This window comes from Homo sapiens, chromosome 5, assembly GCF_000001405.40.
Source record: "Homo sapiens chromosome 5, GRCh38.p14 Primary Assembly".
NCBI lineage: Eukaryota > Metazoa > Chordata > Mammalia > Primates > Hominidae > Homo > Homo sapiens.
This window is the reverse complement of record NC_000005.10, coordinates 106399196-106415373: the sequence shown is the minus strand read 5'-3', so window position 1 is coordinate 106415373 and position 16178 is coordinate 106399196.

Sequence of the window (16178 nt, the reverse complement as noted above, 5' to 3'; positions counted from 1 at the left end):
AAACTCACTTGAGCCCTTCTCTTCTAAATCTAAACAACCTGACATTGAAGGTTTGCTTTATAGCATATCTTTGGAAAGGCAATTCATTTTTATGATTAGTGATAATAATGTTGGGGTGGATGTAATGGGAGAGAGAGTCCAAGCAAATAAGAATAAAAAGGAAAACAATCATCTCCTTCTATAACATTTGCAGATTCAAGGGAGAGAGATAGATGCTGAGATCAAAATGACAGATGTTACACATTTGCCCAGGTGCTGTTAGACATAAACATTGTTTCCTCTTCACCCCTACTAACTATCTCTTTAAAGTATCTCTACCAAACTTTGAATCCAATCTCAGGGAAAAGAAATTCAAGAGTAATATAAATTCTGAATGTATTGAAAACAATATTATAATATAATTTCAGGACCAGAATCTTTTGGTCTTTATCTACAAGAGTTGTCATTATCAAACAAAGAACATTTGTTTTTCTACTTAATGACTTCAAACTAAATAACTGCCCTTTTCAGAATCTCCTTCCACAAAACAAACCAACTCTTCCCCATTCCCTCCATCCTCTCCAAGTCGTAATGGAAATTGTAAGGAGTTTTAAAAATAGGGTTTGGTTTTTGCAAATAGAAGATTTTGATTAAAGCAAAGTCAAATATAGAGTCAAACAAGTTTAATTTGTTTTCTTGAGACAGGGTCTTGCTTTATTTCCCAAGCTGGAGTGCAGTGGTGCAATCACAGCTCACTGAACCCCTGACCTCCCGGGCCTCAAGCAATCCTCCTACCTCAGCTTTCCAAGTAGCTGGGAATGGCTTCTTTTTATTTATTTATTTATTTATTTATTTATTTATTTATTTATTTATTTATTTATTTTGCGATGGGGTCTCATTGGTTGCTCAGGCTGGTCTCAACCTCCTGGGCTCAAGCAGCCCTCCTGCCTTGGCTTCCAAAGTGCTGGGATTACAGGCATGAGCCACCACATATGGCCATGTTTAATTTGTTGATGGCTGAGAACAGTTAGCTCAGAATACTTATTATATTGTTTTATGAATAAGGAATTCCTTATTCTGTGTCATGAATCAGAGCTGATAGATGCTTTCTTGGAAAGGGCAATACAGTCATCCCTTGGTATCCTTGGGGGATTGGTTTCCAGGAACCCCACTGGATATCAAAATCCTTGGGTGCTCAAGTCCCATTATATAAAATGGGTTATATGGTATTTGCATATAACCTACATACATCTTCCTGTGTACTTTAAATCATCTGAAGATTACTTATACCTAATAAAATACACACACATCACTTCATTTGCATGGATTCAATATAGTGCTTGGTGTTCAGCAAATTTAAGTTTTGCTTTTTTGGAACTTTGTGGAATGTTTTTTCTGAATTTTTTTATTGGCAGTTCTACATGGATGTAGAACTTATGGATATGGAGGGCTGACTGTACTCATACAACTTTGAGTAACAAACTCTTTGGGGGAAAAGAGGGAAGTGTATTGAGCAAGAGAAGGAAAGAAACATTATATACTATTTTTATTCTGTTACATGTGTCTGTAGATTGTTTGATTGTAATCAAGACCTTAGAAGAAATGATTCTGTGACTGGTTTAGAATTCTGGGGTGGAAACATCCCGGAACCATGTTATTTAATAAATTCTGTCTTCTGGAAAGGGTTACAACCTGGGAAAGAGTTTTTATTCCAAAAGTCAGCCTGTTACTTGGTGAAGCTGAAGTTTAAGAGTTCTAGGGAAAAATAAAATCAAATAATTCTAAAAAAAAATATACCAGCTCTTTATACCACACATTTAATTAATATTATAGAATTCCTTATGGGAAAGAATATCTAATCATTTTCTTTTTAAATGAGAGGGCAACTCAGTCTAGTTATATGTCCCTATGATCATTGAAATATGACAGAATATATGATTTTATTTTCAGCTAAATGCTTCTGCACAAATGGATTTTTAAAATCAACAACTGTATTACATTTAATCAATTCTTTTATTTTAAAAATAATGAGGTTTATTATTAGTCTTCTCAGAGGAAACAAATGAGTAGCTTTCAAGCAAATAAATGAATTATCTATAAAATTGTCATTGACAAGGGATCTATATTTTATGCATGTAAATAATAAAGAAATAAAAATTGAAATTGAAAAAGCCCTCCTACAGGATTATTTTAAATGTCTGCCTGGTCATTGTCTACTCTAAGACCTTTATGATACAATCATAAACACTTAAGTTCTTTGGTATTAAATTCATATTTTCTCATTGGTTTGATGGGGTTAAACTAGCTCTATGTATTCTACTAAACAGTGAGAATTTTCCGGAAAACAGATATAAGACACTCAAATCTTTAACTCAAAACCTAAAGTCTTCTATATTTTCTGAATGAAAGATGTATATAAATGATGTTGGCATACATAACATTTGTTAAAGAAAATTATTTCCATGTCCAAATTTCTAAATCAAATCCATGTTTCTCACTCCAGGTTTTAGACATATTTCATACTGATTATCCTGACATTCATCTTTTCTTGACTTCCTGACACAGGTATCACTCTCAGCAATCTAGCTGATGAGTCTTGCTTAAAATTTCAATTACACATTGTCTCCTGCCCTATCAAGATTTATACTCTTTTAAGGCAAATTTCTCCTTTATAACTGATAAACTATGCATTCAGTGTTCAAACAAGGTTATCAGCCCCTGACTGGAGAAGCAGATTGATGAACAAAAACAATTACTTTGACAACAGAAAGCATAGAAGACAACTCTTTGAAGCGCATCATTCTCAATGGCATAGGAGATTCCCAAAGACCACATTTAAAAAGCAAAAAAAAAGAGTCAACAGAAATGAGCTAATGTTCTCTGTGTACTTGGAAATATAAATAGAGAGAAAAGGACAAAATACTTTTTAGGATTCTGGAATTTGAGCTGGAAGGTAATAGGATATAAATAGGAAATAAAGCCCTTGATTATTAGAAAAAGAAAAACTGAAAGAAAAAATTCACAGCAGTCTTATAGTAGAATAAAATAAGGTTTGGTTCACATATAATGGTGTGACATAAAGGTAACACATTCTATCCTGGACAGAGCTCTACAACATAACAAAGATAATAAAGAACTAATATCTATTGAGCTTACTTAAGACATGATTATAAGGGCTTTAGTTGCCTTAATCTACTTAATAGTCACAATAGACCTATGAGATAAGAGCTAAAATTTCCCATTTTTACAGATGGAAAAACTGAGGCTGATAACATGTCCTAGGTCAACAAATTATAAATGTCACATCCAGGGTTTGAACTTAGCGATTTGAAGTCAGAGTGACAATCACTTTGCTTCCATATTCCTCTTTAGTTAAGTGATAAAGACAAATGTGCAACCAGAAAATATCAGGAATGTAAGTTAAAGCTATAATTGAAGGATGCAGAGTGGTCTATGGTGACTCAGAAGAATGCAGAGTACTGTTAAGACTTTGTTTCTGGATCTGTGTGCTGTTTACACAACTCTGTTCAATTCCTGGAAGTCATTAAGATGTGCGCTTATAAATTGTTAACTTTTATGTATATGATATTTAAGTGTTTTATTTCAATAAATATTTCCATATAATCAAATTACATAGATGGAACATATAGTGGAACATTTTCCCCAAGTGTGGCAAAACATAAAAGATTTAAAAGGATATTGCATATTTTAGTACTACTGTCAATAGGAGACAGTCAATTAACTGTACCAGATATAACTATCTATATATAGAGAGATATAGATTGCATAAATATATATCTACATATCTATAGATAGATATAGATAGACTGGTATATTCCCAGTCCCTCAGCCCTTTATTTATACTATATGATTTAAGAACAGGTACATTAGCATTATGATTATAGATTGAAAAGAAAAATGAACTTTATATTCTAGCATTGTTATTGATGCTAAAACTTTTTGAAACTATGGAGCTGTATTTTTTTAATGCTTCTTTTAAAAATTCATATTCATCTAACTGGTTGTGAGTGAAGAAAACACAATTTTAGCCTTAAATGTTCAAAGCAAATAGCACACTGTCCCTTCAACTGCTGGTGCTAAAATTAAAGAAATTTTCAGTCTCATCTTCATGGCAATGAGTCTCATTTAAAAAGTCATTTTTTCTCTAATAACATTTGCATACTTTATTTTTAGAATAAAACTTCAGATTTCTTCCTATTGGAAAAATGCAATTTAATTTGTAATTTTAAAATTTGGTCCTTGAGTATTAATGTTAAGCATGATAAAATAGTTGCTATATATATGTGTGTGTCTGTACATTATATATATGTAGAGAAAGAGACAGGAGTTTGTTTTTTATCTACAAAAACTTACTTCTATATAATTTGCTACATAGAAGTAAGTTTTTGTAGATAAAAAACAAATAAATAAGACATAAAAGAACAAACTAGACCAAGCATAATTTCCAAATAGTTTACACGTATTTAGTGTTTCTTACTTTAATACTATTTTAAAAATCACTAGGATTTTGTTTTCCAAGGATCTTCACTCTCACCAACAGTTCTATGACAGTTCTTGGGAACTAAACTGTGTGAATTTGAGAAGCCCCATTCGGTTGACTGGGAATTAAAAGATACAACAATATACAGGTTACAGAAAGAGATGGCACCATGGTCTTAAAAACTCTGATTTTTGTTTTCTCTTCCTGCTCCCTGTAAGCTGTGATAGCCGAAAGAAGAGTATAGAACATTTTCTTGACAGTATTTCTGTCTAGAACTGTGAAATAAATAGATGATAAATTAATATTCCATTATTATTATTACCTTTTAGTTTAAAAAATAGTAATTAGGATTACAGTCAGAGGTGAAGAAATTCTTCCAAGGATAGGGGAAACATATGGATAACCAGGGCTGTGGTAGGTAGAATATAGTCCCCAAAGATGTTCATGTCCTGCCCCACGAAACTTATGAGTATGTTACACTACATGGCAAAGGGAAATTAAGTTTTTGGATGAAACTAAAGTTGTCAATCACCAGAAAAAGTGATTATTCTGGATTGTCTAGGCAGATCCAATCACAAGCATCCTTATCCTATTAAGGTTATTTTATCTACAAAAACTTATCCTATTAAGGTTGCTTGTCATGGGATCTGCCCAGATAATCCAGAATAATCACTTTTTCTGGTGACTGACAACTATCGTTTCATCCAAAAACTTAATTTCCCTTTGCCATGTGGTGTAACATCCAATCACAAGCATTCTTAAAGGTGCAAATAGGGGCCAGGCGCGGTGGCTCACGCCTGTAATCCCAGCACGGTGGGAGGCTGAGGCAGGTGGATCACCTGAGGTCAGAAGTGCGAGACCAGCCTGACCAACATAGTGAAACCCCGTCTCTACTAAAAAATGCAAAAAATAGCCGGGCATGGTGGAGGGCGCCTGTAACCCCAGCTACTTGGGAAGCTGAGGCAAGAGAATCACTTGAACCCAAGAGGTGGAGGTTGCAGTGAGCCGAGATCATGCCATTTCACTCCAGCCTGGGCAACAGAGCAAGGCTCGGTCTCAAAAAAAAGTGCAAATAGGAGGTCGAAGAAGATCAGAGAAAGAGTTCTGAGAACAAAAGACAAAAGGAATGTTAGAGTGATGTGATGTGAGAAGGACTAGCCCAGAAGTTGTTGGCTTTGAAGATGGAGAAAGAGGGCGAAGAGGCAAGGAAAATGGGTGGCCTGCTGAAGCTAGAAAAGTCAAGGAAAGGGATTCTTCTCTAGAGCATTCAGAAGAGAATGCGGACCTGCCGACACCTTGATTTTAGCCGGGTGAGATATGTGCTGGATTGCTAACAGAACTATTATAAAATAATAACTTCGTTTTGTTTTAAGCACCTTAATTTGTAGCGATTTGTTACATCAGCAATAGAAAACTAATACAACCACTATGAGCTATATTTTCCAAGAAGCAAAACAGATATGCTGTTACAGTTAACTCCTCAAACTGCATGGGCATAGACTGGGCACCAGAACAAATGTTCAGCAATTTTCTACAAAGCTGGGTAAGGAATCTCAAACTTATTCCAATTTATAAAATATAAAACATGCATCCACCAGCACATTCGTGTTGGAAAGCAAAAGAATACACTTCACTGTGCACTGTAGGGGAACTGGCAGAACGAAGATTGGTTCCAACCAGAGCTCTTAATGCTGTCACTGAGGCCTGAAAAGCACCTGCTTACACATCATCTGCTTTAGTACCTCTGTCTCTGGTTATTGGGCAATGATTCAAATAGTACATTTTCTGCCAACCCAAAGCAGTTCTATTCCCATTCCCTGCAGTTCCAGCTCTCGGAGCAGAAGGTCATTGTGCACTAGCAATAACTTTGTAGTATTTTAACAAGGGATCCAAGGAAAAAGATTGAGCTATGAAATATGGCTTGAGATGCAATTAATTCTTGCTGTTGCAAAGGTAAACGGGGACTCAAGTAAAGGAGAAATTTAAATTCCCCTTTTGCTGTTACCTATAATTGTGTTCTCTCAGGATGCAAATCAACAGAGGAGAAGAGTTGATCCGAGTCAAATATGTTGGAAAACTGCTTCAGTTCAGTGCTGCCAAAGTTGGCATCAGATTGAGCTGTCTCTGGTACTCAATTGCCAACAGCAGAAATGTAAGCCACAGAAAGAGGAACTTCACAGGGAGATCCTGAACTCTGTAAAAATTGTTCATTCATGAGTTGGCAAGAAGTAGATGAAAGAGACACAGCATACAGAATGAAAGTCTAAGGTGGGAGTAAATATTGTAAAACTATTATTTTAATGAAGAAATTTATATATTTGTTCCCAAGGTGTGTGTGTGTGTGTGTGTGTGTGTGTGTGTGTATTATACAATATAATATATATATATATTAAAAGAAGAAAAAGATTAGGCTTATTCACATGCAATGTAGGAATCATTTCAAACAAGAAGTATTAATTTTGCTCCTAGAAGCCAGAGCATGACATAGTCATTGGATTGATTGGATCCTTACAAAACAGATCAGATTGTGTAGTCTGCCTTAGCTATTTTTTTTCTGCTCTTTTGCAATCAAACTAGTCATGCAGGGTAGTCTGACTGTTTTTGATAAAATGTCTGAGTAGAGTCTCTGTGAATCTGAATTTTTCCAGGTTCAAAACACCAGGGAAGCAAAAGTGACATTTATGTATTTTATAACTTATTTTCATTGTCTGTGATTATTTCGGATTGAATGGAGTTATGGAAATATGGGAACTTCTGACATCTCCTGATTGATGAACTATAGCTCTGATTTTTATGATGACTGATTTTATTTTTCAATTGTTTTGATTTCTGAAAATTTAAACACCCACTTAGCATGAGATTGATAATGGTTATTTTTCATGTAGAAAATCTGACTTAGATTTATGGAATTGCTTGACATACTTCAGAACTACTTGTACATGTGAACTTCTATTATTTTGTTCATATATGAATTTGAAATGAAACAGGAATATCTGCTATTATATTAGCATGAGAAGGGCAAGTTCTTATTATTGGCACCACCATTTCTCATGACAGAAAAATGCTGTAGTTTATTACATTATTCCTAGAAGAATGGAGATATATATATAGATATAGATATATATACATAAAATATATAATATGCCATTCCAGCAATATCACATTAGTGCAGAAATTACTGCTTTGAAGGGATAAAGTATTTTCATATCCTCAAATAAGTTTTCAAACAGTCACCATACATAATAAAAAGAAAGAACAGTTCATTTTTGGCCCCAGCTGGCCAACAGGCATTTATTATCAGTTACACTTATACATGTCAGTGTGAGTTCATCAAATCTAAAAGATTTTTCACCTCCACTTGATATAATCATAGAAATTTTGAGTTGGATATGACCTAAGACATAAACTTGCCTAACCACTCACCTAAAGTAGAAATTATCAATGTCAATATCTCTGATAAGTGGTCATCAATCATATGTTTCAAATACTAGAAGTGACTAGAAACTCGATGCTGTTTGAGTCAGGTCATTTATCTGCTGAACAGATCAATTTTCTAAGATATTCTGTTATGGTAAAGAATCTTCATCTCTTTAATATCTTCATATTGGTTCTGTATCTAGCCTCTGTAGCTCTAAGACTATCATAGCTGCTACTATCTTTCTGTATTCTTTATCTCAACATTCTGTTTACCTTTAATCCTATCTTTGCACCTTGAACATATTCTCCAGCAACCTTCAAGTAGATTGCTCACCATGTTTTGGATGCATGCTGATTGTTTAAAACACTCCTAAAACCTGACCTGAGAGCTTAATTGGGTTTTTCCAATGTAGACTTTAGGGCAAGTTATTTGCTTTCAGTCTTTTTGAACACTATTATTTCATTGAAAACCATGATTTTTAATTATTAGTAGTCTTTTAATTAATAGTCTTGCTTGATTAGACCTCAAAACACTTTAGTTTATTTCATTTTATTCTTTCAAAAATATTATTCAACCAGAATTGCCCCTTCCCACTCCCCAACCCCTAACACACACATATTATTTGCAATTTTTTTAAAAATACAAATGCAACACTTCACATTTTCCCTGTTGATTATTGCTGGAACATATTATTGTACTTTTTAAATGTCTTATGCAATGCAGTGGTAAGCACAGTACAGTGTGAACCTAATCTTTTAAAGCTTGGCTTCTAGAGGTTCATTCAAGTCATCCATTTAAAGAAATAATAAAATTTGGCAAGAATGAGGTGAAAGACAGGTCTTTATGATATATTATGAAAAGCCTCCTTCTCTTAATTATCATTCTTACTATAACATATCTCTGAAATGATATGAAATTCCTTCTGATACTTGAGATAAAAATTTCCTGAAACAACACATCATTAAAATGTGTAGGTATTTCCTCATTATGTATGTTCTTTCTAAAACTTCAATTATTTTAACATACATTCGTTTCACCCACTTTAGTTTGAAGGGCATTTTATACTCTGTTAAACATCAGTATTATGCTAGCTACTCTTACGATTTAGGGACAATCTGCTGCATTACCTCCTAGCATTTTGGATAAGCATTGACTCGTTTTCAACTCTAGGTTTCCTGCAACCATTATTTTTGGTTGGCAACATTATTTTTTATTCATCCTTCGTGATGGATACTTTTTAATATTTTACGTGTAGTGTTTTCAAGTATTATCTTTTTGGAGACATACTGTTTTTCACTCTAAAGGTCTCTTCAGAATAAAAACTTATACATCTTTAGAAATAGGAAAGTTAAAATAAGTGAATTAATGACTCTCTTAAGCAATGCATTTTTTTAGATTCATTCTTCTTTCTTGAGATATAATTATCTCACAATTTCTCATAAAAGATTTTATTTTTTGATGACATTGAGAAGTATATTTCTAACTTTTCAGGTACAAATATTGGTCTTCAAGTTATCTCTTTCAACCATTGTCATCTAATTCTAAGTTGTCTACTTCTTGTAAGACTCCTAATTCCTTCTTTTCTGTGGACTTGAAGTAAATCCACAGTAGCAGCTTCCATTGCTTCTTATGGCTTCCACGAAATAAAATTTCAATAAATAAGAATTCATCAGATACCCCATTTGAAGACTTGCTTTTCCACAAATGCTTCCATAATAACCCACTAGTTATTCCATCATTGCCAACTCTGCAGCCTATTTCAGAAGTTCATAAACACTACTTACCATTTCATTTAACTAGTTAATATCTACATAGTTTATACTGATGTTACTTACCATGTTTTGTTAATTTGCAGACACTCTCCTGGGTTTATACACTAAGTTTTCTGGATATATATTTAGTTGTAACTATTTCTCTTGTCCAATCATTCTATTAAGTCTGTTTGTGATTAATAATACACACACTTTCTTGGAAATAATATGATCAAGAGACCAATTTTACTATGTACAAGGAACAATAATGTCCATTAATAGTCTAAATGAATAGGCAGGATGACAAGGCACACAAGATAGATCAATAGCTTCACAGTGGGTTTAGCATTTTCAAGTGATGGAGAGTCTTCATGTTCTAGATACATTTTTCTTTCAGGATCATATCTTCTCTTTCTTAAAAGTAAAATTAGACAGAAAAAAAGATAGTACACACTTAATATCTGACCATGGCTAAACTTTGGAAAATACTGAGATGCAAATATTACCACCTCCTTTCATAAGTCCTCAAGTATACCTACGTACACATACAAACAAGAAAGCAAGGCAGTATAACTGTAGTAGAATCTGTGTGTTATAATCACAGTGTTATTAGAGTTCTGAGGAAGGAATATCATATTTGGGTGTTACAAGCAAGGGCTGTCTTTGTGCAGGTGTTATGGGCCAAAAAATTGTATCCCCCCAAAAAATTCACACATTGAAGCCCTAACCACCTTGGAGATAGGGCCTTTAAGAAGGTAATTACAGTTAAATAAAGTTACAGCATGCGGCCCTAATCCCATAGGGCTTGGGTTCTTATAGGGGGAGAAAAAAACCTTCCTTATAATGATAATACTGTGACAAGATTTTTCTTTTCCTTAGTTATATTGTACATATAATGATGAATGTAATGGAATAATGTATTTGTTAATGAAAGATCTATAGATGATAAGTAAGGAATTTTCCAGTGGCTGTACCTGTTACTGTTAAAAATGCAATGTGGCAATATGCATGGCAACAACTCAAGGATTTTTTGAGCCCATGGAGATCTTCCATCACCAGGTATTACAGGAGATAGAACTGATGTGCAGCACAGACCCCCTCCCTGCATCTCCTGCTACTGCTGACTCAATGTACTGCATGTGAACATGACACGCTTTGTGACAGCATACCTGCCTACCACACCAGCCAAATGGAGCCCTAGTCTTCATTCAAATGAAGCTAATCATTAAACACGTTTATTTAGAAACTATTTATGGTTTTCATATTTATAATGTAGCATACATGTAAAACTCATGTGTTCACTGTAATATATATAAGTCAGAACTGAACTGGTAATAAAATGGCATGGAAGAACGGAGTGTTGCACAAGCATGCCCAGACTCTGAAAAATACTTTTTATATGCTATCATGTTTTAATCCATATAATAATTCTATGAGGCAGAAACTAGACTTGTCTCTAGTTTATAAACAAAGATACCAAGGCAAAGAATGATTCAGTGACTTGTTCAAAGTCTCAGAGGCAAGTCTTGTATTTAGGTCAATCTTAAGTCCATGGGCTCAATCATCATGCTAGAATGATTTGGATAGGGGACATGTGTTAAGATGACAAATGTACAAAATGTATTTAAAGATACTCAAGTTTTCTGTGGAAATTTTCTGGCTTCTGCTGTCTGACAAACCTCAGCTTCTAGTAGTTTAGGTTAATGAGTAGGCTGTGTATTAGTGCTTTCTTTCAGTTAAGATAGAGAATGAAGACTAAAGGAATGCGCAATAATCATGATGAAACATAATAAGGACTTTGGGGAAAAGTGACCTGAGTTACTTGGTTCAACTCAACCAGTTGAACCAATATGTGACCTATGCTCAGGTTTACGGGATAACTTTGTTTTCTCTGTGCCATGTAAAGATGCCATAGACCAAATACACCCTTTAAAGATAGATCTTACCAAGAACTCAAAAACAAAGCACGTACTATAAACAAAACAAAATAAAACAAAACAAAACCCTGGACTAAAGAAAACAAGTTACTCAGGAAATTATTATTTTTATTTATGTTGGATACCTTCTTCTGTTGTGGTTTTAGAATAAAGCATTGAATATAAAAAGCGAAAATGGGATTTAACCTCTACTTATATCCTTCTGAAGAATTACAAAATTGATAAAATGAATTTTTTTTTTTTTTTTTTTTTTGGAGATGGAGTGTCATTCTGTCGCCAGGCTAGAGTGCAGTGGCACGATCTCAACTCACAGCAACCTCTGCCTCCTGGGTTCAAGCCATTCTCCTGCCTCAGCCTCCCGAGTAGCTGAGATTACAGGCACGTGCCACCATACCCAGCTAATTTTTGTATTTTTAGTAGAGACGGGGTTTCACCATGTTGGCCAGGATGGTCTCGACTCCTGACATTGTGATCTACCCGTCTTGGCCTCCCAAAGTGCTGGGATTACAGGCATGAGCCACCATACCCGGTCAAAATGAACATTCTTAAGAGAATTGAAGGAACTGGATAGTAGAAATTCATTAAAATAAAACAACATTATACAGCAGTCTTACATTGGCTAAGATAGATAGAAAAACATCTTTGTAATAAAGCAAAAGAAGAATAGAAACCTAAATCAAGATAATAGATGAAGTAACAAATCATTACAAAGGTCATATTTCAGTTTTGGTTTTATGAGGTGTAAAATGCCTGAATCACAGGAAAGTAGATGATTCTCCAAAATCTCAGACTTTTTGAGAAAATACTGTTTAAAAGAAGAAACAAAAGCTATTGATATTAGAATGCTCAGCAACATGAAAGGATGTTTGTTCCTTTTTATATCAATGACAACAGCCCTCTTGACAAGAGACAGTAACAAATTATGAAGCCTGGAAATTGTACTCCTTACATAAAAGCTTGAGTTACTCTACACATTTCTACTCTACTCTGCCTCAAGCTATTATTCATCTCCTAGCTCTCCTTTGGTCTTTCTTTCTTCCTCCTTCATTTAATCCCTTTCTGTCCTTTACCTCATCAATATATATTTTAAGCTTCTACTATAGGCACTTCCAGGTCTTGAAAAAAATGCAGATAAAGTGAACTCCCTAAAAAGTCTCATGAGGTGGTAATAACAGAAAAGTTAAAAAAAATAGTGATCGCTCATTTATGGAGAACCTAATGTGCATGTCTCATTTTCTTTCATAATCACAATATGAGATTGGTACTGTATAAAATATGAAGAAACTGGGACTCCTAATTTTTAGAAAGTTGTCAAAAGATTGAGAGATATGTAAGCAAATGTCTTTGATGCCCCCCAAAATTAAGCCAACAAGCTTAATAGCATGCAGGTATTATTACTGAGGTATAGAAGAAAAAAACCCAGTGAATTTTAGGTATGTTTGTTGGGTATAAGGGAGGATTGAGAAGCCATAAAATGCTTGGTAGCGAAGATGATGTGAACTTGGTTTGAAGAATAGTGTATTAAATTGATGGATAATATGGAGGGATTTGGGCACACAAGCAGTATTTGAAAAGACACAATAATATGGGAAAACATAGGATATTTGGTGGATCACAGTTTATGAAGTATAACTGCATTACAAGATACATGGTAAGAAAGACAGTAACAGAATTTGAGTGGAAATCATGAACAAAATGAAGAAAGGTCCGTTAAAACACGATACTAAATTTAAGCTTTATCCTAAAGTAAGTGATAATCCACATATAGATTTTTAGCAGAATAATTGCACAATTAGGTTGCATTTCTAAAATTTCCTCCCAAATAATGAGGAAGGAAGCAGAATAGTTTAGGAGAGAAATGATAAGAACTCAAGTAGTTATGGTGTAGACAATAGCAGCACTTTGAGAGATATTTTTTGCAGCAACTAAGTTTGTGTCTAGCACATCCTCTTTTACAATACTGGACAGACATATGCAACTTATAAAACCTTGGTGCTTGGTGATTCATCTTTACATTGTGTTGTGTTTTTTTGTTTTGTTTGTTTGTTTAATGACAAATACAACTTATAAAACCTTGGTGTTGGTGATTCGTCTCTACATTGTGTTGTTTTTAGTTGTTTTTTTCTGTTTGTTTTTGGTTTTTGTTTTTTTAATGAGTAAAAGGGAATAGTGACTGTAGTATATTCGAAAGCAATCCATTGCTTTTAGAATAGCATGCATTTTCAAGTTTGTATGCCATTCTATAATGCAAAAATTAACTACTTCACCTGACTGTATCAATGATTGCATATATGCCGCACTTCCACTTATATTCAACATACATCTGCATGAATCATAATCTTCATACTGCACAGACAAAAACATTCCACCAAATAGATTTTAATGACATTAATTATATATTCTATACACAATAACCCTGTTTACAAATCAGTTTTTTCAATATTAATCTCATATTAATTAATGCAAACATGAAGCGAAAAATAGTTATAATTCACTTACTATGCTCTTGCTGTTAGGAAAATTTGATGAAATTTAATTGGTTTAACATGTTTGAAATACATCTCACAATCTGGCCAGGACTGGTGGCTCATGCCTGTAATCCCAGCACTTTGGGAGGCTGAGGTGTGTGGATCACCTGACGTCAGGAGTTCCAGGCCAGCTGGCCAACATGGTGAAACCCCATCTCTACTAAAAATACAAAAAATTAGCAGGGTGTGGTGGTGGTTGCCTGTGATCCCACCTACTTGAGAGGCTGAGGCAGAAGAATCGTTTGAACCCGGGAGGTGGAGTTTGCAATGAGCCGAGGTCGCACCATTGCACTCCAGCATGGGCAACAAGAGCGAGACTGAGTCTCAAAGAAAAAAAAAATGATATAAATCTCACAAACACTACTCCTAATTTCTATTTTGGTTGTATGAAGGTCTTCAGTTATTAAAATAGTTATGTTCATGAATACCAAGTTATCAGCGTTCCATGAAGTGTTTTAACCCCTGAAAAGGGTCTTGGTGAAAGTCTCGTAGTGATTATATCATTTTATCAATATGCTTGCCTGCATTGCAAAGTGAAGTAGAGACTTGTAGTTGCTTCTGTTTAAGAAGATATTTTATACTACTCAGTTGTTTTCGTTTTCTCATTAGTATTAGAGTTTTCTAAATCCAAAACATCATTTTTTGTATGTTCTTCTATTTTTGAATGTTGTTTCGACTAATTTCCCCCATATTCTTTTTTTATTATGTTTCATGTATGATCCTTCAAGCAAGGGCATATGCTCATCTAAGCATTTTATTCTTTGACCTGCCATATAAAACTTATTTTCTCATATTTTTCCCTATGCTGTTAATATACTCAAAATGATATATTGGTTCTTTGAACACATGAATTATTGTATTTTTGTTTGACATCCACTTTTAATTTTAAGTCATTGTATTTTATTTCAATATCATTGCATTACTTGCCTTTTACCATTTTGGAATACAGTACAAAAATTCCTGGCTATTTCAATTTTATCTATACTTCAGGCCAAGAGTTTTCATAATATAGTACATTTCTCTTCCTTTAAAATAAACAGCCAAACCTATAAAATAGGCCTTATTCTTGTTCTCCAATACTAGGGTTATTGCAGTTTTATATTCTAAGTTTTTGAAAAAAACTAAGAAATAGTGAGCCTAGATATAAAGGTCATGTAGCACCGTGTACACAGATACTCAATAACTTTGTGTTTCTTGAGTTACACAGTTACACAGGCAAAGGGAGAGAGCAATTGTGACTGAACTCTCAAAAGCATGAGCAGTAGGATGGACAAACGTGCAGCTTTTCCTCCTTTCCTCTTCTGCCTATGAATAAACTTAGGGAGACAGAAAAATAACCATGCACTTCATCATGCTAATCAATACGAATTTTTGTTGAAAGTTTATTATGTGCAGAGCACTGTTCCAGATCCTTGGGGATGTAAAGAGCTACAAAACACAGATCCTGCTTTTAAGTGTCTTTAATTTAGACGAAGAGTTAAAACTTATATGATACATAAAACATATGTTTTGGATTCAGAAAAGAATGAGGAAGAATATTTAACTTACTATAAAAATGGATTGATTAGAAGTTAAACTTTCTGAGGAGTTCACATGATGTTTCCACTTTGCTTTGCTTTGTCCTGTTTCCTACTCTTCTTTAGGAAAATATTTCAAGCTTAGTCATGCTCAGAGTGTGCTGTAAGATTGTAATGTAGGGTAGGGGAATTCCCTTAAATACTCACACCCAAGTATAGCATGACATTTTAAAATAAACTTACACCAACTCATTCCCTCTGATCAGCAGGAGTATTTTAATGGAGATAAATAAATTATACACAATTTTATATAATTACATTAAGCCAGTTGTGTTTCTATGAACATGCAGCATGAACTAAGATTGTCTATCTCCATATAAATATAGTAGAATAAATGCAAATGAGCCATAAGCCAAACTAAAATTCAAGTTACATCTTGATAAATAGTTATAAAATGTTTTAAAGAGGGCTTAATGAAAATATGACATTTAAAAATGAACTAAAATATTGGTAAATATTTAGTTATTCCTAGTATGAAGAATTTATA